Source organism: Homo sapiens, chromosome 1 (assembly GCF_000001405.40).
Source record: "Homo sapiens chromosome 1, GRCh38.p14 Primary Assembly".
Taxonomy (NCBI): domain Eukaryota; kingdom Metazoa; phylum Chordata; class Mammalia; order Primates; family Hominidae; genus Homo; species Homo sapiens.
In genome coordinates, this window is record NC_000001.11 from 230,873,340 (window position 1) to 230,898,770 (window position 25,431).

General features: G+C 46.7%; 3 long non-coding RNA genes and 2 pseudogenes across 4 annotated transcripts, besides 3 other annotated features; 3 read left to right on the forward strand and 2 right to left on the reverse strand.

Moving 5' to 3' along the window:
• The first annotated feature begins 1,506 nt into the window (after nt 1–1,506).
• Nucleotides 1,507–5,676, forward strand: LOC101927604 (uncharacterized). Its single transcript, NR_110681.1, has 3 exons — nt 1,507–1,816; nt 1,967–2,226; nt 5,453–5,676. It is a non-coding gene; the product is annotated as an uncharacterized LOC101927604 (long non-coding RNA).
• Nucleotides 3,400–3,901: an enhancer, noted in NCBI's record as "H3K4me1 hESC enhancer chr1:231012485-231012986 (GRCh37/hg19 assembly coordinates)". NCBI's record gives its function as "activates a minimal SCP1, AML or CMV promoter by ChIP-STARR-seq in naive H9 embryonic stem cells {active_cell/tissue: H9 hESC(naive)}" and the evidence as "EXISTENCE:reporter gene assay evidence [ECO:0000049][PMID:30033119]".
• Nucleotides 3,902–4,401: an enhancer, noted in NCBI's record as "H3K4me1 hESC enhancer chr1:231012987-231013486 (GRCh37/hg19 assembly coordinates)". NCBI's record gives its function as "activates a minimal SCP1, AML or CMV promoter by ChIP-STARR-seq in naive H9 embryonic stem cells {active_cell/tissue: H9 hESC(naive)}" and the evidence as "EXISTENCE:reporter gene assay evidence [ECO:0000049][PMID:30033119]".
• Nucleotides 5,316–17,141, reverse strand: LOC124904547 (uncharacterized). The gene is made up of 3 exons (XR_007066938.1): nt 16,389–17,141; nt 16,158–16,289; nt 5,316–5,738 (listed from the first exon to the last, which is right to left on the reverse strand). It is a non-coding gene; the product is annotated as an uncharacterized LOC124904547 (long non-coding RNA).
• Nucleotides 15,240–15,414: a silencer, noted in NCBI's record as "fragment chr1:231024325-231024499 (GRCh37/hg19 assembly coordinates)". NCBI's record gives its function as "represses an EF-1alpha promoter that drives an FKBP-Casp9 reporter gene in an ReSE screen in HepG2 liver carcinoma cells {active_cell/tissue: HepG2}" and the evidence as "EXISTENCE:reporter gene assay evidence [ECO:0000049][PMID:32094911]".
• LOC105373167 (uncharacterized) lies at nt 16,061–24,882 on the forward strand. Of its 2 annotated transcripts, XR_949264.3 has the most exons (4): nt 16,061–16,293; nt 20,131–20,205; nt 22,103–22,166; nt 24,472–24,882. It is a non-coding gene; the product is annotated as an uncharacterized LOC105373167 (long non-coding RNA). The 2 variants fall into 2 exon arrangements; XR_001738519.2 differs by lacking the exons at nt 22,103–22,166; nt 24,472–24,882 and adding an exon at nt 22,234–22,313.
• Nucleotides 20,802–21,088, forward strand: RN7SL837P (RNA, 7SL, cytoplasmic 837, pseudogene; annotated as a pseudogene).
• Nucleotides 22,093–22,202, reverse strand: LOC124904844 (uncharacterized; annotated as a pseudogene).
• Nucleotides 24,883–25,431: the final 549 nt, after the last annotated feature.

The following is a 25,431-nucleotide window of genomic DNA, read 5'->3' on the forward strand; positions in this document are numbered from 1 at the left end:
AATTATGAAGGAATGAATAAGTATTCCATAATTGGCATCATTAATTCCCTCTCTACAGAAAAGAAAACTGAGGCATCAGCAGAAGAGACTCACCTAAGCTTGTCCCTGACCACCCGCGCACCTCATAGTTTGGGACGGAATTGAGATCACAGAACAGGGTTCCTTTGTCTTTTGTTAAATCTGTAACATTGGATTGATGTGTCTAAGGTTAACTATTGGATGTAATAATAATGATATTAAAAACTGACCTTAAGGGCACAATTTATTAAAGTTTCCAAGTCACTTACTTGGAAGTCAAGTCAAATATAGCACTAACTTGTCAGTGTAACAATAGAATACCCAAAGTGATGGCCAACATTCCCATTACACGTCTGACATCTTGGCTAACAGTCATAGCCCTGGAACTCTTCTCCCTAGGCCAGCCCCATTTAAAAAATCCATTAATCCCAGTGCTTTGAGAGGCCAAGGCAGGAATATTGCTTGAGGCCAGGAGTTTGAGACCTGCTAGGACAACATAGTGAGACTCCATCTCTACAAAAATAAAATAAAATAATTAGCCAGGTATGGTGGCACACACCTATAGTCCTAGCTAATTAGGAGACTGAGGCAGGAAGATTGCCTGAGCCTGTGAGTTTGAGGCTACAGTGAGCTACGATCATGTCATTGCACTCTACCCTGGGTGACAAAGCAAGACCCTGTCTCTAAAAAAACAAAAAAAAATTTATTGAGAGAGAGAGACAGCAAGGCCGGCTGGTCTCGAGGAAGAGAAATAAACCTCTACAAGAAAACTGCCACACCCTGTTTGAGCCCAACCTGTTCACCCTCAAAGACAGAATGACGGTCTTCCCCATCTGTCTGCACTCCTGGCTGTTCACAGGGCACATCAACAGGGAAATGCTGTCTGTTCTACTCATGTCTTACTGGTGACTTCCTGTAGAAATTCATGTTATTGTTTAAAATAATTAATTCTATATTTGTTTCTTTGGCATTTGTGCTTACCATATTCTCACATTTTATCTGATCTCCCTGCTTAGAAAAGTGAAATTGACATTATATTGAGCATCTCCTCTGCAACAGGCACTGTGAAATCACATTAGTCAGATGTTGTCCATTAGTTAGACATTTTTCTATTAGTTAGATGTTTTGTCTATGTTTTAATGAGAACTTGCTATCAAAGAACTAACTTCTGTTTTCTTTCCCAGCTTGGCTTGAAGGAGTACTTTAGGACTCAGAACAACAGGATGAAGACAGCAGCTAAAATAGAACACACCAGCAGAGACGTTCAGCTCCTTGAGCTGTGCTTCCGAAGCTCAAGCATGGCAGAGTGGCCTTGTTAAATCAGAGTTCAGGGTGCCACCCTGACAGTTTCTGATTCCGTAGGTGCCCAGTAGGGACCAAGAATCCTTTTTTTTTTTCCTTTTTCTTTTTAATAGAGTCAGGGTCTTGCTATGTTGCCCACATGGGTCTCAAATTCAAGCGATCCTCCCACCTCGACCTCCCAAAGCACTGGAATTCCAGGCATAAGCCACCGTGCCTGGCCAAGAACGTTTTTTTTTTTAACAAGTTTCTAAATGATGCTGGTCTATTGGTCCTGGGACCACACTTTGAAATTGGTGGGATAGGAGGCTGGGATCTTTATCCATTCACTCAACTCCCATTCCCCATGGTTGAAAGTTTCCCTGGGGCATCCCTGGGAGGCCTGGGGGCTGACAAGATTCAAACGTTTTGGTGAAAAGCCCCAAGACAGTGAAGTGGGGTGTGCTTGAAGTGGGGCACCGTCATCACCCACCTACCCACCACAGAGGTGAGCTAAAAGGTAAGGTGTGGCTCACAAAAATCTTCTGCTAAATACCTATCTTTGCCTCCATTTCTTCCTCTTTAAGACGGGGGTAACTGTACCAGTGTTCTAGGGTAACATGTACCACCCTTGAATACAGTGTTGCTCCCTGTCATGACTCACGGACAGGTTACCAGACCGGAGCCTCCAGCAATCCAGGAGCACAAACAAGGATGCCTTAAAACAAAACTTGTGTCAGGGTACCCTTCGCTGCCTCAGAGGAAATCAGAATGACCTGGTGGACAACTGTTCATAAGGACAAGAGCCAGTATCACTGCCTTTGAGTCCCAGCCTCCTCAAATCCATTTTCTGCCCTGCACCACCTCATCATATCCCGGATATTGTTAGTGTCGTGTCATTTCATGACTCAGGAGCTGCGGGTGACTTTGGTAAGAGCGGAGCGGTCGCTGTCTCATCTGTCACCTCCTCCCTTCACCTCTGTGCAGCCAACGTCCAGGGAGCCTGCCTCTTGCTGTCCTTTTCAAAGCTTTCTGGGTCTCTCCTCTGTGCCTCTGATCCAGTCTTTCATGCTGCCCAGAACACTGTCTCTTTCTCCCATGCCAGTGACATCCATTACTTTCTTCAAGGTCTGGCTCAAAACCCAGCACTCAGCCAGGCACGGTGGCTCACACCTGTAATCCCACCACTTTGGGAGGCCAAAGCAGGCAGATCACGAGGCCAGGAGATTGAGACCATCCTGGCTAACACAGTGAAACCCTGTCCTACTAAAAATACAAAAAATTAGACAGGCGTGGTGGCAGGTGCCTGTAGTCCCAGCTACTCGGGAGGCTGAGGCAGGAGAGTGGCATGAACACGGGAGGCGGAGCTTGCAGTGAGCCAAGATAGCATCACTGCACTCCAGCCTGGGTGACAGAGCAAGACTCTGTCTCAAAAAAAAAAAAAACAAAAAACTCAGCACTCTTGGGAAATTTCCCCTCCAGGGAGACAAGGTCACACAAGGCACAGAGAACCTTGGTGGGAGGCAGAAGCCCTAGGTTTGTTTATGTCCTGGCTCAGACACTTTGCAGCCTCATAGATGACATTAAACAAGCTCCTTAGCCTGTTATCTTACTTTGGGCTACCCTAAAAGCAGAGACTATGATATGGACTTGGATATGTGTAGTTAATTTGGGAAGTGATCCAGGGAAGCCGGAATGAGGGGTGGGAAGTAGGAAAAATCAAACAACTATGTGTCATTGAGCCCACTGCTCCTGTGGGCTACTGGAGATCAGTCACACAGGGCACTCTCTGTGAACCGTGTTCAAAGCCCCTCAGAATTGGCCCCCCAAAGAATGGGAGGCTGGGATCTCTATCTGTTGACTCAACTCCTATTCCCCATGGTTGAAGGTTGCCCTGGGGGCACCATTGGGGGCTGACAAGACTCAAAGGCTTTCGAGAAAAGCCCTGAAACAGTGAAGTGAGGTGTGCTGGAAGTGGAGCACGGTCACCACCCACCTGCGCACCACAGAGGCGGGCTAAGGGTGACGTATGGCTGACAAAAGTCTTCTGCTCAATACCTGTCTGTGCCTCAGTTTCTTCCTCTTTAAGATGGGGTAACTATCCACATTTTAGGGTAGCGTCAAATGACAGAGGTGACATATGCGAAGGCCCCTCCCTCAGCACATGCCAGCCACCCCAGCTCCCTGACTGTGTCCACTCAACACTTACAACTGTTGTATTCATCATGTCTACGTGCATGTACGGTCCCTCAGTGTTATCTATGGCTATTTCAGGTCTTTTATCTTAGCTGAAGATAAGGGCAGGTTCTTCCCTTCTTTTTTGTCACCCATCCCAAAGTGCCTACCACACAGCTGAATGCCAAGTAGGTCCTTGGTACAAATGGGTGTCGAGTGAATTTGCTGTCCCAAAAAAGTCATCTGTGAGCCTGTTCTCTTCCACGGAGATGCCCTGCAAGGCCATGGAGAAGCCATAGGGCAGCGTCCTAGCCTGCTTCTTACAGCTGAGAGACCAGCTCCAACATTGCGTGAGCCCATTGCCAAACTGCTGGTGAAGTACCATGCTCTGTGGCAAACACATGGCAGCTTGGGGAGGGAAGTCTTCTGACGCCCTGAGCCCTGGCAGGGCAATGGGCAGTAGATCAAGCTGGCCTGCCCTGCGTGGGCCCTCAGCAGGGATGCAGGCGAGGCTCCCAGAAGACGATGACTCAGGCCTGCATCTGTGACTGGTTATTCCAGATGCTGCCCTGCAATGGGACTGTTCTCTGCTCCCCCCACCCCCGACACCAGTACAGCACGGGAATGCATGAGAGTGAGCCTTGGTTTCTTTAGGGGAGTCACTGCGTAATTGGAGAGCAGTGTTCATGGGCAAGACAAAGGAGGGCCGGGGCAAGTAAGGGAAGATGAGAAGATGATGTTCCAAACTACTCTCGGTATAAAATGTGCTTTGAATATTTTGGATTATTTTTCCAATTGTAGAGAGAGTTTTCCCTGAGACACTGGTTCATCACCAAGTCAGGTGACGCTGGGTCTGGGGCACTCTGCATCTACAGCCTGGAACACAATCGTCTTCTCTAGGCAAAACCACGTGACTCACATGAGGCTCAAAGCTGGACCCTTCTTGCCGTCTATACCATACTTAGCAAAGACAACAGGCTTAACTGCTCTGTGAAAAATGCTAAACAACTTCTCAAAAACAATAAACATCTTCTACCTACCTGAATGTTTACATTTAGACAGGCCTTTAAGATTATTAGTCTCTATAAAAATATACAGGCATACCTCAGAGATAATTCAAGTTCAGTTCCAGGCCACTGCAATAAAGCAGATATCACAATAAAGCAAGTCACACAAATTTTGTGGTTCCCCAGTGCTTATCAAAGCTGTGTTTGCACTATACTATAGCCTATTAAGTGTGCAATGATATTATGTCTTTTAAAAAAGTACACATGTTATTTTAAAAAGACCTTATTGACAAAAAGTGCTGACAGACACAAAGTGAGCACATGCTCTTGGGGAAAATGGCACCGATAGACTCATTCGATGCAGGGTTGCCGTGAATCTTCAATTTGTAAAAAACACAATACCTGCGAAGCATAATAAAGTGAAATGCAATAAAACAAGGTATACCTGTAAACAACTCTAAAATCAGTTATTTACTCTTTTTTCCCTTCACCTGGAATTCCTACCTGGTTATCTCTAACTACAGTAATCCCATCCTTAAGAACTTGCTCAAATGCCCCCTCCTCCAGGAAGTCCTCATGATCACCTCCACCCAAAAGAGCTCTTCCCTGGAGACAGAGGGAGGGCAGGCACAAAAAAGACAGTTTGTCTCCTTTATAGTTTGACCTCACATAAACTTTGGTGTCCTGGGAAGAATAATGCCAACATTTCCACACTATACATGTGGAAATGGCTTCAAACTCATATAAATCTTTGGTTTAATAACCATATATAAATGCAGTTAGAGAGAGGGAGGATGAGGGAGATTTAAAAATAAGAGGCCAACGGAGAGGAGGCTATTAAACTATGTGGCAATGATTTATTGATTGAGAAATAAAGGGAATTCCTCTCTGTCTTCTTCTAAATGATCGGTTTCCAACTTCTAAACACTCCCAGATGTGGAATGCATGTTTCTTCCTTCCATTCCTCTCTGCAGGCTGCCCTGACATTTGTTAAATTGGCTCCTGGGTCCTGGTTTGCAAATGTTGCCACTTTGAGATCCGTAGATGGTCATCCCTGGCTCCCTTGGGGAGTGTCCTGGAATCCACCAGCTCCATCTGCTCGACAAGAGACTTGAGTTTGTTCTGTTACCTCTTTCATCATTAGCCAAAGCTCCGGGACTTGGTTAAAACTTTAGGCAATTAAAAAGACTGACTTATGGAGATAGTAGTGTTTTCACTATATCGTCCCTGCTTGAATTTATGTTCTTGAATTCCATTAACCTGAAATATATCAAAATACCAAGATGTTATGAAGAATGGGAACAAATATAGAAAAGTGAAAACAGTTGCCTGTGAAGTTTCTGCAAGACGAGAAGTAAGGGAGGACAGCCTTCCCTCTCAGATGGCTCCCCACCTTCGGGTCCATGAAAACCACTGGCCAGAGCCTCAGGGGAGCCTTCAGTTAATCCTTTTTAAATGAATGAGAGGTGGATGGAGGAGGGCATCTCCCCTACAAGTTGGCCCCCAAATGTCATGTTGTATTAATAATTCAGCTCATGGCTTCATACTGCAGGTCTACTCGAGGAAAAAGTTATGTCATGCTTGCAATGGTCTTCAAAGTATGCCGTCCTTTTCTTTCCTCTTCCACTGCCACTAGCATATTCCAGGTCTAATTGTCTATCTGGTGTGCCTGGCCTTCCCAACTCCAGGTTACTCCCTCTCCAATCTGCACCCCTCTGCTGGCCTCCCCCTCCTCAATCACCCTGCCTCTCCACCCCCCTTGCCGGCCTCCCCCTCTCCAATCACCCTGCCCCTCCTCTGCTGGCCTCCCCCTCCTCAGTCACCCTGCCCCTCCTTTGCCAGCCTCCCCCTCCTCAATCACCCTGCCCCTCTCTCTGCCGTCCTCCCCCTCCACAATCACCCTGCCCCGCCTCTGCCATCCTTCCCCTCCTCAATCACCCTGCCCTGCCTCTGCCAGCCTCCCCCTCCTCAATCAGTCTGCCCCCCTCTGCCGGCCTCCCCCTCCTCAATCAGTCTGCCCCCCTCTGCCGGCCTCCCCCTCCACAATCACCCTGCCCTCCCTCTGCCGGCTTCCCCCTCTCCAGTCACCCTGCTCTCCCTCTGCTGGCCTCCATCTCTCCAGTCACCCTGCCCCCCTCTGCCAGCCTCCCCCTCCTCAATCACCCTGCGTCCCTCTGCAGACCTCCTCCTATCCAATCACGCTGCCCCCCTCTACCAGCCTCCCCCTCCTCAATCAACGTGCGTCCCTCTGCAGGCCTCCTCCTCTGCAATCACCCTGCGCCCCTCTGCTGACCTCCTCCTCTTTCACAGACTCTCTGGTTGGGTGTCTTTATTTTTGTTATTAATTTAGACAGCAGCTCTTTCTGGCCTTCACCAGCCATCACCAGTGACAGCACATCACCAAAGCCCCGGGTACAGTCCATCTTCATTGCGACCTTTGTGCTTTGGTTTGCATCAGGCCATTTGGTTAGAAAGCTGCTCTTCCTCAGGCCCACCTGTCCAAGTTCTACCAATTTCTGAAGGTCTGGGTTAAATGCCATCTCACCGACCTTTACCGCATCCCCTCTGCTCTATGCTATGGTCACTGTTGCTGCCATGGCCACAGCAGGAAGCAGACTGTGGGTGCTGACTGCCACAAAAGGACAACAGTCACACAGCTCCGGCAACCCCTGAGCAGCTGCTGCAAGGAGGTCACCTGATGACGCAGGTGGCAGTGTGCCCACCCATGGACAGGCAGAACCCAGAGAATCTCCTTGCCACATGTTGTCCCCATCCCCTTCTCCCTTTGGGTCTGGCACCTACAGCGGCTGTCACCTTCCACAATGCCCATGTGAACTTCCTAGCGACATGGCACTCCTGTTGCCAACAAACAGAAATATGGAGGGCTCTGATTAAGCTCTTTTGAAAACATCATAAAATAGAGACCAAATCAAGGAAGCTACATTTCAGAAACATTAGTTATGTTCCTATATCAATAAACAATCGCTAGGTGGGATCCATGGTTGCAAAATCTCCCGATTTCCTCAGAAAAAGCAAAAACCACACTTGCCATGTATCCTGTATTTGGGGGAAAATCAAGGAACTCCCTGAGGTTAATCGTACCTACTTAATAGAAACTTTCATCTGAGAAGCACTAAGTACTTTGGACACGTTAGCACATAGGTCCTAATAATACTCCTATTAAGAAGAAAGAGGTGAAATTTACTTCACTTAATGGTTGGGGAAACTAGTCTAGAGACAGAGAAAAAGCGATTTACTCAAGCTCAGGGAATGTATCAGTGTTAGCGATGAGAATAAAACTCAGAGGCTGGAATCTCAAACTAGTGTACTATCACAGTATGTTACTCAATGCACACTGATTCATTTGTTCATTCATTCATTCGTTCGTTGGTTCATTCATTCTGTGCCAGACACTGTGCTAGGCTCCCAGAAACAACAATGAGCATAAGACCCAGCTCATATCAAGCGTATCATCTAATAGATGAGGCAGAGAATGAAAAGCACACAGACAAAATCACTAGACCGTGCTAAGTGCCATGAAGAAAGCAAGCATCCATTGAATCCTTACGGTGCCTGTCATTTGTTCTCATAGCATCCCTATGAAGAAAGTATTTTACAAGTAAGAAAGCAGAATCTCAACAAGGTCAGGTGCGTGCCCAAGGCCTCACCACTCACAGGTGGCAGAGCAGGAATCTCAACACACTACCCTTTCCCTCCAACAGCCATTCACCATGGAGCCAAAATGCATCCACACACTCCCAGAGCCAGTCTCGGAAGGATAGACAAACACCAGGACTGTGCCAGAACTCCCTTTTCCTTCTAGTGTTGTGTCTCTTCTTCCCTGTTCATCAAGGAGAAGACGCTGGTGGATGGCACAGCCTCAGGGAGGAATGGTGTCTGTCTTCAACGCTTACGAAGCTGTGAGACATTCTCCAAACTCCTGCTCCAAAGAATATGTCCATTCTAAGCAGTATATACACAGCAGAGTTAAGAAGCGTTAGTAGGGGCCAGTGTGGTAGCTCACACCTGTAATCCCAGCACTTTGGGAGGCCGAGGTGGGTGGATCACTTGAGGTCAGGAGTTTGAGACCAGCCTGGCCAACATGTTGAAACCCTGTCTCTACTAAAAATACAAAAATTAGCCGGGCATGGTGGTGCGTGCCTGTAATCCCAGCTACTCGAAAAGCTGAGGCAGGGAATGGCTTGAACCCGGGAGGCGGAGGTGGCAGTGAGCCAAGATCGCACCACTGCACTCCAGCCTGGGTGACAGAGTGAGATTCAAAAAAAGAAAAAGAAAAAAGAAAATAAAAAAGAAGAAGCATTAGCAAGTCCCTCTGAAACGGGAAAGGTTCCCTTGTCCCTCACAGGGCATGCAATGGGGTATGGCTCGCTTCTTCAGTGCCCCGCTGCTCACACCTCTAGGGGAGCATTCAGATGGGCAGGCTGAGGGGCTCTGACCCCATGGCAGTATCCAGGGGTGAATGTTTACAGCTGAAGCCCCAGTGGGCGTGTGTTACAGGATGCTCTTTTAGTTTAGCCATCCGTAGGCGGCTTGTGTTAGTCAGCTCAATTGGACCCCTGCCTTATCGCCAGGACAGAGGGCTTTCTGTGTCCCGGGGTTCTTGCCTTGGTGTACCGGAAGAATCAGATCACACCTGCACTTGGGGAATGAGTTCAGGTTTTTTGAGTGAGAATAACTCTTGGCAGATGGGGGAAGCCAGAAGGGGATGGAGTGGGAAGGTTTTCCCCTGGAGTCAGGCTACTGAGCGGCCAACTCTTCTCTGACCACCCCAGCTAAACTCTGAGTTGTTCTGCTGGTCAGTGGCCTGCCGGCCTGCCGGTACCTGTCAACGTGCTCTTAACATCCAGCCGCCTGTGTGTTTACCTGCTAGGGTCTCAGGGTTTTTATACGCACAGGATAGGGACGTGGCAGGCCAGGGTGGTCTTGGGAAATGCAACATTTGGGCAGGAGAACAAAAATCCCTGTCTTCACCTAGGTCTGTAGCCATGGGTCTGGGGGTGGAGCCCTAGCCAGGGACCACGCCCTAGGATGGAAAGACGTTCTCTCTGCCCTGGGTGGCATAATAACAAGGCAGATAAAGGCTATATTGGAAATAAGCAGAAGGCACAGTGGGCTCCGCAGAGGAAATGCGTAACTTTCTTGTAGGAGGAAAAGAACAAAGGGTGAAGGATAAGAAGGTTCACCTAGCACAATGGTAGGGGAAGAATGGTGTGAAAGAGGTGGCAGAGTCTCTCAGCCCTGAGAAGAGACAAAGCATGGGGCCAGGGATCGCTCCGACTGCCGGGACAGGGTACTCACAGGAGAAGAAGTGTGGGCGGGGAGGGTGGAATGGCGGAGACCTTGAGGGTCCACATTGAGTCAGAAGCTGCCTCTATTGCTCCCTCATCTGCTTCCCTGGCTCCACTCCTTTTGGGGTGAAGAACTGGCTTTATCTCACCACAACATCTTCTGACTCTCCTGTGTTTGCCTCATGATGGTCACAACTAAGCTTGTGAAACTTAAAAACCAAAAATGGGCCAGGCGCGGTGGCTCACGCCTGTAACCCCAGGAATTTGGGAGGCAGAGGCAGGTGGATCACGAGGTCAGGAGATCGAGACCATCCTGGCTAACATGGTGAAACCCCATCTCTACTAAAAATACAAAAAATTAGCCGGGCGTGGTGGCGAGTGCCTGTAGTCCCAACTACTCGGGAGGCTGAGGCAGGAGAATGGCGTGAACCTAGGAGCCGGAGCTTGCAGTGAGCCAAGATTGTGCCACTGCACTCCAGCCTGGGCGACAGAGCGAGACTCCGTCTCAAAAAAAAAAAAAAAAAAAAGCGAAACCACCTCTTTTTCTCCTACAGACACAGCCAAGCACATATAAATCCAAAGTATCCTGGGTGGCCACTTAGCTGCTGTGGCCAAGTTTAGAAATGTGGTGAAAAGGACAGCTGACCTCTGTGTTCTGCTGGGCACCTCTGTACCCTCCCTTCCCTGGGCAAATGATTCCCCAGCCGTGAAGGTTTATGCCTGTGCGTGGTGGAGGAGTTCTCAGGCTGAGGAGGAAAGTGTCTCCTCAAAGAGGCACGGAGGGGGCTCTGGAGCCCAGCCACCTGCATTCCAACCCCAGCACCAGTGTTCTGGAGTGTGACGCCAACAGACTACCTCCTGTGCCTCAGTTTCTACATATGTCAAATGGGATAGTAATTCCAAAAAAAACCACTGCAGGATTTTTTTTATTTAGGTTAAGTTTTTTTATTTAGATTTGAAGCCAGCTGTGTGGGGAGAAGGAGCGAGCAGTCCAGGGAAATAGTTGGAAGGGAGGCTGAGAGTAGGAGGGTGAAAGCCCGCCAGCCCAAGCAACAGGGAGGGAGTGGAGAGCAGAGCTGAGTGCCTGGAGGCAATGAATCCGCCTTTGCAAAATGATGACAGTAAGAGAAATCTAACATAGCTAACTCTATCTTGCTTCTAACCTTCAAGCTTTTCTTGTTTATTCCTGGGTATAGACCAAGCTAACTTTGAAAGGAATTTAATTTATAGTTTAACCTTAAAGCAAGGATGATAATAACCCTTCCCAAAACTAAACTGCCTTTATAAAACTAATGAAAGTCCACAAGGTTAGGATCATGAGAGGGATGTAGGCATAGTTAAATGGAACCAGCCACTGTTCTGGAAGTCAAAAGATTTGTAACGTCCCCAGTTACTCCTATAGATAACATCATTATTGTAGAACCTAAGATTTTTTTTAAGTTGTTTTTCTAACTTGCATTTCTGACAACTGACTGACCCCACTGGGCCCTGTGGCCCCCATCTAGAGAGGCAATGAAGACCATACCCTTGTGATTTCATCCCTAATCAATTAGCAGCACCCATTCCCTCACCCCCTGCCCACCAAATCATTCTTTAAAAAACTCAGTCTCTGAATTTTGGGGGGAGACTGATTTGAGTAATAAACCCCCGGTCTTCTGCTTAGCCAGCTCCATTTAGTCAACTATTTCTCTGTTACAATACTGCCGTCCTGGTAAATTGGCTCTATCTATGCATCAGGCAAGAAAAACCTATCAGACAACAACAGTAAAAGGGGCTGGGTTCCAAGAATGCTGGGTTGGAAGTGACCAGGCTTGCCCTGAGAGTTGTTACTGCCCCAGGATTCTTATGGTCTCAGCACCTTGGGCAAGGGAGATGGCACCAGAGAGACCCTCAGATGGCACCTACCTCTTGCCCTGGGGTTTGTCCTATCTTCCTCCAAATGTGAGCATGTCCTTACTTAGCCCAGGAAGGCTGAGAAGGACAGAAGGCACTCTGGGGACTTCCTGTGGCTTATCTGGGGGCACCTCTGAAGGATCAGAGATGTGGTCCAACAGGACAGAAGCCAGCAGGGGACACTGCAGCCTGATGCAGAGGGGTGTGAGGTAGCACTGGGCTATTTTAGGAGGGTCAGGTCCTTGTGCCTTGGAAGAGATCAAAGCTACCCCTCCACCTCCAGGCTATGTTCTCTCCCTCTGCCCGGAGCTGCTTGGCTATGTTTTCTCCTTCTGCCTCTCTGGGGCAGCTTGGCTGGAAAGAAACCAGTATTGTCCATTTGTCATCCAAATGCACATGGGGCATTTCCTACCTTTTTCCTCTGTCTCTCCAAAGTGGACAGATTCCCCTCCATTCCATTTTTCTCACCACCTCCAGACTCTGGTCCTCTCCTCCCACCCTCTGTCCCTTCAAGCCAAGGCCCTCCCCTCAACACACCTCCATATTTCACTCTGCCTCCTGATTGCCAAGCCTAGGTAGGGTCTTCCTCTGGTTCTCACCCTCCTCAGTGCCTCTGCTGAATGAGACAGGAGGCTGTGGTGGTTCTGGTCCCCTGAGGAAAACTCTCTTCTTTCAGGCTTTCATTGTTGTCCTGGATTTGTTTTTGCTTTTCTCAGCATTTCTTTTCCATGTTCTTATCCTTCTTCAAGGTTGAAGGCCCGGGCTTTGCTCCTCTATTTGCCTGCCCTGTCTCACATTTTCCTATAGCATCCACTGCTTCTCTGCCAGCATTTCCCCGCTATGTTCCTTAGGGCTCCAAGGAATAGGAAATGCTGCTTCACAGGCAGTTGAGAGGCTGCATTTCCACCAGGCTTCCTGATTCTGCTGCTATTGCGGCCTGTGATCCACACTTTAAGTAGCAGATGCTAGAAAACAGGTGCCAGGCAGACACCGGAATTCTCTACTTCAGAAAGCAAGAAGCATTTGGGATTTACTTGTAGGACAGTATGAGACTGCCTGGGAGAAGGAGACAGCAGGAGCCCAGGAGACTTGGAGAGAGACAGTGAGAATGGCCGCAGGCCTTCCCAACAATTTGAAATTGTTTGCACTGTGCAGGTGTGTGGGAAAGCCCCCACTGCTGCTTCTCCCTCCAATTCAGGAAAACATGCTATGTATTCAGTGTGGGATCAAAGCAAGAATATAAACAGAGGGTCCTATACCATGTGTCAAAATATCTAGAAGTTACTAACTTGACTTGAAAAATACACCTTCACAGAGACCTAGGTGTCCTGGATTGAACTGAGAAGCTTCTGAATCCTTGGACTTTCAACTGAATTGAGCATTCAGGGGGACAGGCCCCAGGTTCCTTCTCTTCCCACTCAGCCCTGACTGGCACTGGGGAGGGCCTCAGTATGGACGTGTGGATACGCCGGCCCAAACAGCTGAATCACTGTTTAGTGCTGTCATATCTGCACTTAATTCCACCCATTGGATTACATACATTCAGCAAAAGCAAACGTAATAATAATGATTATTTTTTGTTTTTGTTTTTGCTTGAGACAGAGTCTTGCTCTGTCACCCAGGCTGGAGTGCAATGGCCAATCTCGGCTCACTGCAACCTCTGCCTCCCTGGTTCAGGCAATTCTCCTGCCTCAGCCTCCTGAGTAGCTGGGATTACAGGTGCCTGACACCACACCTGGCTAGTTTTTGTATTTTTAGTAGAGATGTGGTTTCACCATGTTGGCCAGGCTGGTCTCGAACTCCTGACCTCAGGTGATCCACCCACCTCAGCCTCCCAAAGTGCTGGGATTACAGGTGTGAGCCACCGCGCCCAGCCTGATAATTGTTTTTTAAAGGAGAGGGACAGAAGAACTTTACATAAGCTCACGCCTGAAGTGAACATGGGTAAGGACATACAAATCTGCTGTTAGTCTCTTAGTGGGTTTCAGCTCTTGTTTGCCTTGCATGGAGGGAGTGTTAAAAATACACCTTTTATCCAAAAAGGCCTTCCAAATGCAGGTCAATTACATTATCTGGTATTTAACAGAACAAAGCACAATCTATTCCCCTGCTAGAGACAAGAAATGTGTCTTTTTGTTTTTTCTTAGAGATGAGGTCTTGCTATGTTGTCCATGCTGGAGCACAGTGGCTATTCATAGGTCGAAACATAGCGAACTACAGCCTGGAACTCCTGACCTCAAGCTGTCCTCCCACCTCAGCCTCCTGAGCAGCGCAGACTACAGGTGCATGACACCGTGCTCAGCTACGAAATGCGTTCTGTTGTTGTGGGGTTTCTGGAGACATAGTTTGTTAGATTTTAATATAGCATCTTCTTAAGAGATTTTTCTTTCTTTTTTTTTTCTTTTTTTTTGAGACAGAGTCTCACTCTGTCTCCCAGGCTGGAGTGCAATAGCACGATCTCAGCTCACTGCAGCCTCCACCTCCTGGGTTCAAGCGACTCTCCTGCATCAGCCTCCCAAGTAGCTGGGATTACAAGCATGTGCCACCACATCCAGCTGATTTCTTTTTGTTGTCGTTGTTGTATTTTTAGTAGAGACGGGGTTTCACCATGTTGGCCAGGCTGGTCCTGAACTCCTGACCTCAAGTGATCAGCCCACCTTGGCCTCCCAAAATGCTGGGATTATAGGCATGAGCCACCATGCCCAGCCTTCCTTAAGAGATTTTTAAGGGTAATTTTCATTATGCTCAATATTACCTTATACATGGCACTATATAATCAGAACAGTTTTTTAGAAACTGTACCAAAATAGGATGACCCAGGAGAGCTACCAGAGACAGGAGACCAGGTAAGAGGCTGTTGCTTCTATACAAGAAAGAACAGGTCTCAAGTAGGATGGTGGTTGTAGGTCTGGGAACATACAGGTGTCAGATATCACAAAGAAATACTCGACAGAGCTTGGGCATGGGTTAAAGATAAGAGTCAAAGAAAAGGAAGAGGTCACCGCTGTCCAGTTTTAAGCTTGGATAACTTGGAGAATGGTGAAACAAGGAGCAGAAATGAGTCAGGAGGAAGAACTGATTTCTGGGGGAAGGATTTGAAGAGTCTGGCTGCACACAATTTGAGTTTGAGGGGCTGATGATCCATGCAGGTACAGAGGATTTGTAGCCAACTGGAAATGCAAGACTAGAGTTGGCAGGGAAGCTAGCACTAGAAATGGTGCAGAGATGATGGTTGAAACCACGAGAACAGATACAGTCAGTGAAAGAACTAAAACAAGAGAGACCTGGCCGGGTGCGGTGGCTCACGCCTGTAATCCCAGCACTTTGGGAGGCCGAGGAGGGTGGATCACCTGAGGTCAGGAGTTTGAGACCATCCAGGCCAACATGGTAAAACCCCGTCTCTGCTAAAAATACAAAAAATTAGCGGGGCATGATGGCGGGAGCCTGTAATCCCAGCTACTTGGGAGGCTGAGGCAGGAGAATTACTTGAACCCGGGAGGTGGAGTTTGCAGTCAGCCGAGATCACGCCACTGCACTCCAGCCTGGGCAACAAGAGCGAGACTCTGTCTCAAAAAAAAAAAAGAGAGAGAGAGACCCAGGACAACCACGGAATGTGGTCGCAGTTAAGGATGGGACTGAGGCATGAGAGGGCTAAGGCTGCAGAGAGGAACCACGTCAGGGGCAGGAGCAAAACCTGCCCTCTTTTAAGCCATCCTTGGTGTTGATGGCAAATGATCTTTCTAATTCTAGTCAAATCATTCCCATGCTTTACAGTCTACATACAGAGAATGAAGTCCAAATTCCTGAGGATGATGGCAAGACCCGCCCCTCTGCCCCTCACTTCCTTTCCAGCTGCATCTGCAAGCCATCCCAAGCACACTAGGCACGTTCATCTCTCTGAACATTTCCTCCCAACTTTGCCTCTGCTGGGAAGGTCCTTGGCTACCTGGCACATTTCTACTCCGCCTCTGCGGTCCCATACTCTCCACACCTCCTCGGCATAGCCGCCGCATACATAACTGCCGCACAGCTATCCACCTCAGGTGGAAATAATTGGGTCCTTTTGGCTTTCCCACAGCAACTTTGATATAGCTCTTTTAAAATCATTATCACTTTGTCTTATTACGTATCACTTCTTTCCGAATCGAGCCTGAGATCAAGCAATCCAGAGCAGGGAAGCAAAAAAAAAAAAAAAAAACGTCAACAAGAAAGCAGACAGAAAAGAGCAGAAGCCAGGGGAAGGCTAGGTCCATGGACAGAGGGTGGGGAGGGGTCAGATCAGAGGTTAAGGTAGAAATGAGTGGAAGGCAGCGCCAGAGCAGGTTCCACTACCAGTAGACGTGGGAGTGGGTAACAGTTTGAGTGAAACTGATGGTAGCTGGTGGGAAAGGCTTCTAGAAGCTTCTAGAAGCTCTGCCCTGGTGTTGACACACTAGTCATCTCTCCTGAGATTTAATAACATAATTATCTGATTCACCTTGGCTTTTTTTCCTTTGACTTTTCCAGATTCCGTCATATCTCCGAGACTCCAAGTAAACCTGTGTCCAAATGTCTCATAGGATGCTCCCAGGAACGGCTTGATCCTCGTTTTTGAAACTTCAAGTGCTGGCTAAGTAAGGGGATGTATTTATTAGTCCATTCTCGAAAGGCTATAAAGAAACGCCTGAGTCTGGGTAATTTATAAAGAAAAGAGGTTGAATTGGCTCACAGTTCTGCAGGCTGCCCAGGAAGCATGGCTGGGAAGGCCTCAGGAAAGTAATGGAAGGTGAAGCGGGAGCAGGCACTTCACATGGCCAGACCCGTAGCAAGCAGAGGAAAGGGGGTGTGGGGGCCGTGCATCTTCAAACAACCGGATGTCAGTAACAAGGCAGGGTGGTGCTAGACCATGGGAAACGGTCCCCACGATCCAATCACCGCTCACCAGACCCCACCCACCTCCAACCCTGGGGGTTACAACTCAACATGAGATTTGGACTGGGTCACAGATCCGAACCATATCGAGGAAGAAGCACCTAACTCAACCTCTCTGCTAGGAAATTACCAACTGAGAAATTCCCTTTGGATGCTTCCCTGCCCTCAAGCCTCTCACTTCACCCTAAAGAAAAACCGGCGGTTGATGTAGAACGATGGGATGGCCATTTTCCCCCGAAGAAGTTTCTCTTTTGAACCTGGCCAACTTTTTCAATCATATCTATCGTTAGGATTATTGTTATTCCGGAATTGCAGGCAATGTTTAAATTTTGCACCCAGTACTAAAGACACAGCTTTTTAAGATGTTTTAAAAACTTGATTTCTAAAACATGAAGACTTCAGGCCAGGACACTTTTCAAAATCTTTCCTTGAAAGATCTTAACTTTCAAGATATTGTAAGAAGCATTTAAAAAGAACATTACAAAACTATAAATAAGAGGTATTGAATGATTTTCTCCAAGCTATTTCTAAAAAGAAGCACTTATTTAGGTAACCTTTATTGTATTTGTTTATATGTTGGCTTCAGAAATTATAAAGTATTTGCCAGGTGTGGTGGCTCACACCTGTAATCCCAGCACTTTGGGAGGCTGAGGCAAGAGGATCACTTGAGGCCAGGAGTTGGAGGCTGAAGTGAGCGGTTATCATGCCACTGCGCGCCAGCCTGGGTGACAGAGCAAGATCCTGTCTCTTAAGATTAGAAAACAAAAATTATAAAATATCAAATGCAGAACATAAATTATGAGTTTTCTTCCTTTACATCTCAGATAATTTTGTCAGTTAATTTAAAAATTAACTTTGTTCTGATTATCAAAATAATAAATGTCATTAAAAATGTGGAAAACAGGCTGGGCATGGTGGCTCACGCCTGTAATCCCAGCACTTTGGGAGGCCAAGGTGGGTGGATCACTAGGTCAGGAGATCAAGACCAGCCTGCCCAACATGGTGAAACCCCATCTCTACTAAAAATACAAAAATTAGCTCGGTGTGGTGGCGCGTACCTGTAGTCCCAGCTACTCGGGCAGCTGAGCCAGGAGAATCACTTGAACCCAGGAGGCGGAGGTTGCAATGAGCTGAGATTGTGCCACTGCACTCCAGCCTGGCGACAGAGGGAGACTCCAGCTCAAAAAAAAAAAAAAAAAGTGCAAAATAGAGAAGACACAAACAAAATATAATTTTGCAAACATCCTATTAGATACACTTCTGGTCTTTTCTCCACATACCTGTATATATACAAAAAATAATAATACAATTCTTTTTATATGAGAAAGTTATCCTTATATAATAAAAATAAATATTACACTGTAACTTTCCCCTTTCAATCAATAATATTATGAATATTTTTCTAACTTTGTTCAATATTCTAATTAAAGTCATGTAGTATTCCAAATAAAAGGATACATAATTTATTTAATCAAACCTATTTTTGGGGGCTTTTACAGACACCAGAAGGAAGACCCTTAGGAAAACCCACCTTTCTTGGAACTCCACTTCCCTCTCCTCAGTGTGTGAGCAGGGCTGGTTTTGTACCATGCAACCCTGATTCCCTTGGAACAGGCCAGGGCCAATTAAGGGACTTTGCTTAGGAACCTGAAACTGTGACTCAGAGACAGGCCAGACAATCTCTGCGCAGCAGGGATTGAAAGAGAAAAAGAGAGAGAATCCTATTCTTTTGAAACGAGATTTTGAGGGATAGACTCAAAGTTCCTGGCTTCTCTACAGACATCCACTTCCTGTCCTTGCCTGAGGCCAGGCTGTGCCCTTGCAGGAAATTCACTCCTTTTGCCTAAGTTAGCTTAAATAGGTTTCTTGCCACCCAAAGAGTTCTACCTAATAATAAAGGAGTAAACATTTTTAAGGAGTTTTATACCTATTGTAAAGCTTTCTTCCAGAAAAATCACCTCTACATTTTAAACGTCTTGAATTTTGGTACAGAGGCGCCTTCTGGATATAGTTCTTGCTTGGAAGAGAGTCCACTGTTTAATGTTGATTGCTCCCAAAGGGAAAGAAGCAAGTATGTCCATTTGCAAGGTATCAACAGAGACTTAACTTGGATTTACAGGGCTGGATGTGTGCTGTCCATCACAGTTGATGCGCATAGGCACAGGACCTGAGTACAAGTGCAATTTTCCTTTTGAGAGGCTGAGGCTAGGGTAATTTTTCTGACTAATTTGAAACAGAGAACAGTTCCTGTAAATTGCGGTAATCCAAGCCCATTTGCAAGGAGGCGGTAGACTTAGGGGTCTGCTGCCATCATCTAAACATGTTAGCAACTGAATGTTAAATCCTTACTTCCTGGTAAGAGGTCTGTCCAGAAAAGGACTGAAGCATGAAGAAAGTGGAAGGGGGTTTCTGCAGAAAGTTTCTCCTCACTCTTCTTCTGAGGGGTTCGTAGCCACACCCCACAGTATGGACAACAGATGTTATTTCCCCATTGTTCACGTGTCCTCACACTCAAACCTTCCATGATTTGCTCTTTTGTTAATTTGCCGTCTTTTGCTTCTCATGATTTTTAACCAGCTGTTTGTTGAGAAGCTGGGCACTTTGACACTACACCGAGGCAATAGTCCTAAGGTCTGGCTGGACCATACAAATCTGGCTGCTTTCCTCACGTCACTTTTTGTTTTGTTTTGTTTTGTTTGAGATGAAGTCTCCCTCTGTCACCCAGGCTGGAATGCAGTAGCACGATCTCGGCTCACTGCAACCTCTGCCTCCTGGGTTCCAGCGATTCTTGTCCCTCAGCCTCCCAAGTAGCTAGGATTACAGGCGCGTGCCACCATGCCTGGCTAGTTTTTGTATCTTTAGTGGAAGACGGGGTGTTGCCGTGTTGCCCAGGCAGGTCTCCAACTCCTGACCTCAAGTGATCCACTCGCCTTGGCCTCCCAAAGTGCGTGGGATTAGAGGTGTGAGCCACCACACCCGGCCCCTCACGTCACTTTGAAAAGAGAAATTCCTCTGTTGCTCTTCAGCCCATCAGGGATCTGCCAAGTGACACCTGGCAAAGAACCACCCTATTTGACATCAGTGATCTCTCTGTGGCCCTGAGTTACCAAGTTGGTGGATGCCTTTTCACCCAGGTTTTATAACTAGCTTATTTATAATGCTCTAACACAAAACTAACAAAAGTATACTAAGCCAGGCATGGTGGCTTATACCTATAATCCAAGCACTCTGGGAGGCAGAGGTGGGAGGATAGCTTGAGACTAGGAGTTCAAAACCATCCTGGACAACATGACAAGCCCCATCTGTATTAAAAAAAAGATTTTAAATTTAGCCAGGCATGGTGGTGCATGCCTGTAGTCCTGCCTACTCGGGAGGCTGAGGCAGGAGGATTGCTTGAGCCCAGGAGTTCGAGGCTACAGGGAGCTAAGATTGCACTTTCAAAGAAGGATTGCAGGATGTCAGTGTCCCGTGGTCCCTCTTGCCCCTGTGTCCTAGCTCTTATCTCACTTGATCACAATTATTCATTTCTTCTGCAATAGGTGAAGCTGGTAAAGACCCAGGCTCTGGAGTCGGACTGCCTAGGTTCAAATCCCAGCTTCACCATTTGATCTCAGGTAATTTTCTTATGTTTTCTCTTCATCCATTTGCCCACAGGTATTGTTTTATTTCCCATTCCATGCATATCACATGAAGATTAAATGAGATAACATAAATAAGTGCTTAGCACACTGCCTGGCTAGTAGTAAGTGTTCAACAACCAGGAGCTATCATTATTGTTGTCATTATTATTATTTACTTGTCTATTTCCTAATCTGGCTATGAGTGGGCAGAGACTGTGTCTTTCTTATTCTTGTTCCCTAGCATTTAGCTCAGCACCAGGCACTTATGGTGGGTTCTCCATAAACATTTTTTAGTTGGATGGATGGGATGAATGAATGAGCTGGAAACAGACAGGCTTATATAGTCGGTGCTCTGTGTACCATCTCGTTCCTTTTTCTTTTTCTTGTATTGGAAAGACTCTTGTAACACTGAAAAAAGAGTGTAGAGAAAGGTTTTCATAGCAGAAGCTGTTTCTCATCTCTGTTACATAGACATCATGACCCTTGTCTCCTATGTGATGGTCTGAGAATCGTCTTTTTGCCAGTCACCAATATATTTTTTCCTAAACAAAAAATGAACAATCTACACTTATGATTGAAAAAAGTAGAAGGCTGGGTGTGCCTGTAGGCCCAGCTACTCAGGAGGCTGATGCGGGAAGATCGCTTGAGCCCAGGCATGCTGGGCTGGAATGTGCTATGCGGATCCGGTGTCTGTACTAAGTTCAGTATCAATGTGGTGAATTCCTGGGAGCAGGGGTCACCCAGGCTAAGGAGGGGTGCACTGGCCCAGGTCGGAAGCAGAGCAGGTCAAAACTCCTGTGCTGATCAATAGTGGGATTGTGCCTGTGAACAACCTCCATAAACACTGTCCCCCAGCCTGAACAACATAGTGAAAATTAAAAAAATAAAATAAAACTAGAATAAGTGGGATAGAATAAAAGTGGGATGTGGCTCCTCCTTCACATACTTTCTCTTTTTTCTTCTTCTCTTGTCCCATTGATCACAAAACTCACACCACCACCTCACTGACACTATGCCTGCCAACACTGAGGCTTCAGTCATACAAGGAAAGTAGCCAGTCTGTAGTGTTCTTCTGTGCTATCATAATGTTTAAATAGGCCTTTTACTTAAAGAATTCCAGAAACTGGCCTTAGGAGATCCAAATATTGAACCAAGGTTTCAGAATGTCCCACCCTAGAAAGGAATGCTGAAAAACTGATGTACAGCCTTGTTGCTGCTGGCCAGACCACCAGGTAGCCCCTGCCATCACAACCAGGTAGGGTGCACTGACCTGCACGCCCTTCCCCTTGCACTGACCTGCACACCCTTCCCCTTAGGTGCCTCGCCCAGCCCAGCCTGCACACCCTTCCCCCGAAGCCAAGTCCCGTGCTTTGACTGATTTAAAAAAGCCCTACTGGCTCTTCCCAGTGAGCTACCTGGAGAATCCTTGTACCTCCACTGTCTCCTTTCTACTTGAGTACAAGCCCCAAAATAAAGCCATGTCTGGGAAATCTGCTTGGCCCCGTGTTAATTTCCATTACATGGGGGAGCTGAAGAGTCTGTGGTCTTTAGCATAAGTAGTGAGCTATAGCGGTTAAGCTATTTCATCCTAAGCGTAGCTCTAGAGGATGTTTTCTAATGATGCAAATTGCTACAGATACATCCATAAGCACAAGGAAATGGTAGAGAAACGTACATCTATAGTGAAATTATAAAGAGATGCATGGGCCATATGATCTCAAAACTTAGGACCACAGTTATCTTTCGGGGATGGCAGGGAATCGGGGGAGAGTGCACGGAGGACTCCAACTGCATTGGTGAAGCTTGCTTCCTTCACGTAGTTTTTGTGTATCATTATTTATATTATTTGTGTGTTTCAAATATTTCTCTTTTTCCTTCTCATATCGGACAGGTAATGTGCCAACATTGTAACAAGGTTTAAAGGATGGATATCTCACACATGAGCATGAAAAACTGTAAGTGTGTTTCACATTTATGAACCACAAAATAATGTGTTTCAAATCTTTCTTACTACATTGAAAGCAACAGCTGAAGATCATGAAGACAGTTCAACAAAGAAATACAAGCTGGTGGCTTGCACCTGTAATCCCAGCAACTCCGGAAGCTGAGGTTGGAGGATTGCTTGAGCCCAGCAGTTCTAAGACCAGCACGGGCATCATAGTGAGACTTCATCTCTAAAAAAATTTTTTTTAAATTAGCTGGGTGTATATTAATACATTTTGCATTTCTATAAAGGAATACCTGAGGCTGAGTAATTTATAAAGAAAAGAGCTTCTCTGGCTCATGGTTCTGCAGGCTGTACAAGACACACAGTGCTGGCATCTGCTTCCAATGAGGCCTCAGGAAGCTTCCAGTCATGGCAGAAAGCAAAGAGGGAGCAAGCACGTCGCATGATGAGAGAGGGAGCAAGAGAGAAGGGAGGAGGAGAGAGATGTGAGGCTCCTTTAAACAACCAACCAGCTCTCATGTGAACAAAGAGAGCGAGAAGTCACTCATTACTACAGGAAGGGCACCAAGCCACGCATGAGGGACCCACCTCCGTGACCCAAACACCTCCCACTGGACCCCATCTCCAACTTACTGGAGATCACATTTCAACGTGAGATTTGGAGGAGACACACATCCAAACCATATCACTGCGTGTGGTAGTGCACACCTGTAATTCCAGCTACTCAGGATGCTGAGGCAGGACGATTGCTTGTGGCCATAGTTGGACATCAACCTGGGCAAAAGAGCAAGACCCCATCTCTACAAAAAGTTTTTAAAAAATAACTAGATGTGGTGGCATATACCTGTAGTCCCAGCTATTCAGGAGGCTGAGGCAGGAGGATCGTTTGAGCCCAGGAGTTCAAGGTTGCAGTGAGCTATGATCATGCCATGGCACTCCAGCCTGGGCTGCAGACCCTGTTTCCAAAAAATAGAAAAAGGCCAGGCGCGGTGCTCATGCCTATAATCCCAGCACTTTGGGAGGCCAAGGCAGGTGGATCACCAGGGCAAGAGATCGAGACCATCCTGGCCAACATGGTGAAACCCCATCTCTACTAAAAATACAAAAAATTAGCTGGACATGGTGGCGCGCACCTGTAGTCCCAGCTACTCCAGAGGCAGAGGTTGCAGTGAGCCGAGATTGTGCCACTGCACTCCAGCCTGGTGACAGAGCAAAACTCCATCTCAAAATAATAATAATAATAAATAAATAAATAATAAAAAAGAAAAGAAATACAAGTGGCCAATAAACACATAAGAGCTGTTTATGTTGGGTTGGGGCAGGAGAAAGTGGAGAGAGAGAGGAGTGAGAGATCCAGCAGAAAGAAACCCTAGACAAAGCTGATTGTAGCTCTACCAACAAGCAAGAGGAAGCAGCTCTGCAGGGACAGCTGCTCTCCCAGCTGTGCTTCTGGAAGGATCAAATAGTGCAAAGCTTTGCCTCCAACTTTTGACATTAAAGACAGAGTAAGTATTTGTCACTGGGAGCCAGAGAACAAAAAAGAATTTGAAAAGCTTTCCTGAGAGTGCTTCTGAGTTTTGCTTTTTTACTCTAAAGAGGCAGGAAAAAACAGCAAAGTTTACATTATGAAATTATTTCAGCTCTCGTGACCAAGACAGTCTGGTATGGGGAAAGCAAGAGCCAGAAACTGTATTATTCCACTGGCCAGTTTTTATGTGTTTGTTTGTTGGCTTTGAGACATGATCTTGCTCTGTCGCACAGGTTGGAGTGCAGTGGCATGACCACAACTCATGGCAACCTCGAACTCCTGAGCTCAAGTGATCCTCCCACCTCAGCCTCCCAAGTAGCCAGGACTACAGGCGTGCACCACCATGCCTGGCTAATTTTTTAATTTTTTGTAGCAACAGGGTCTTGCTGTACTGCCCAGGCTGCTCTTGAACTCCTGGGCCCAAACAATCTTCCCACCTCGGCCTCCCAAATTGCTGGGATTACAGGGATGAGCCACTGCACCTGTACTGGCCAGCGTTCCTTGGCTGGTTTCTCTAATTATCCCTACATCTCCCACACTGGATTCAAAATGCAGAGATCCTTTGACAAGTCTTTATCAGTATAAAAGCCTCTGTGGTTATATCAAAAGCATGAAAAAGGAAAAACTATTTTAAATGAACTGTGGTTTTTCTGAATCTTCTCAAATTGGCTAATCAGTTAGAGAAAACTTAAGAATTTGTAATTGGCCCACTATACAACATATCAAAACTGTAAAGCTGGATAAAACACTGTAGATGACTTAGTTTCACGCTTTCCTTTTCCAGGTAAAGTAAGGCCAGAGAGATTAAATCCTTTGCTTGGGGGTAGGCAGCAGTGTTGGTTTTGGAGCCCACGTGTCCTGACTGAATACTCTACAGCTGGTCATTACTCCAGCTCCTTCTAGAGCATCAGGGAGTCCTGACTCTGGAATCCTGCAGTTCCCTCTGCCAGGGACTTGAGGATGTTCTGGTGTTCACATATAGCACAAGCACTTCCCCCTCTTTTCTTCTGATACCTGCATGCACACCTGAGACGCCTACTCCAAGACTCACCCTGGGGATGAAGTGGCCTGATTTCATTGTCATAAAGGCATCTCTGATGGGATTCTCCCAAGTCAGTAATCATCTGTGGGCTTTATGAATAACAAACATCTTAGCCTTGGATTATGTAGCTAATAAAAATAAGAGGTATATTCTAATATGCCAAAGTCAGCAATTGGGAAGTTCACGTCACCCGGTCCAATGTTGCATCCTCTCTGCGGTCTTTCCCAGTCTCCCCAGGCAGAGCCACTCCCTGCTCTTCTGTTCCTACCCAGATTTCTTAGGCTGTATCATGACCTAATTTGTACAATTTCCCCTGTTAGGACTGTGAGTTCCTTCTGGAAAGGGTTACTGTCTTACTCAACTATATCTCCAACATCTAGGACACAGCTTGGCCTCTAGTAGTTGCTGGGTCCAAATGATGGCTGGGACTGGGAGGAAGGCGCCATGTAGACCAAACAGGGATATAAGTGAACTTTCACACTCACCAACTTTCACTTACAGTCAGGGGCATCATAAGAATGATTATCCAAACCAGGATACTTTTGAATGGAAAGTGGCACTATTAATAATTACAATGGGACAGCAGGCATAAATCAGGCAAATTGGGGTATAGGACTGTCTTCCTTGTAACCTAGGTTTGGAAAGTTTTAGCTCTGGAAATTATGTACAATAAGAAAAGAAACATTAAGTGAATGCATGACT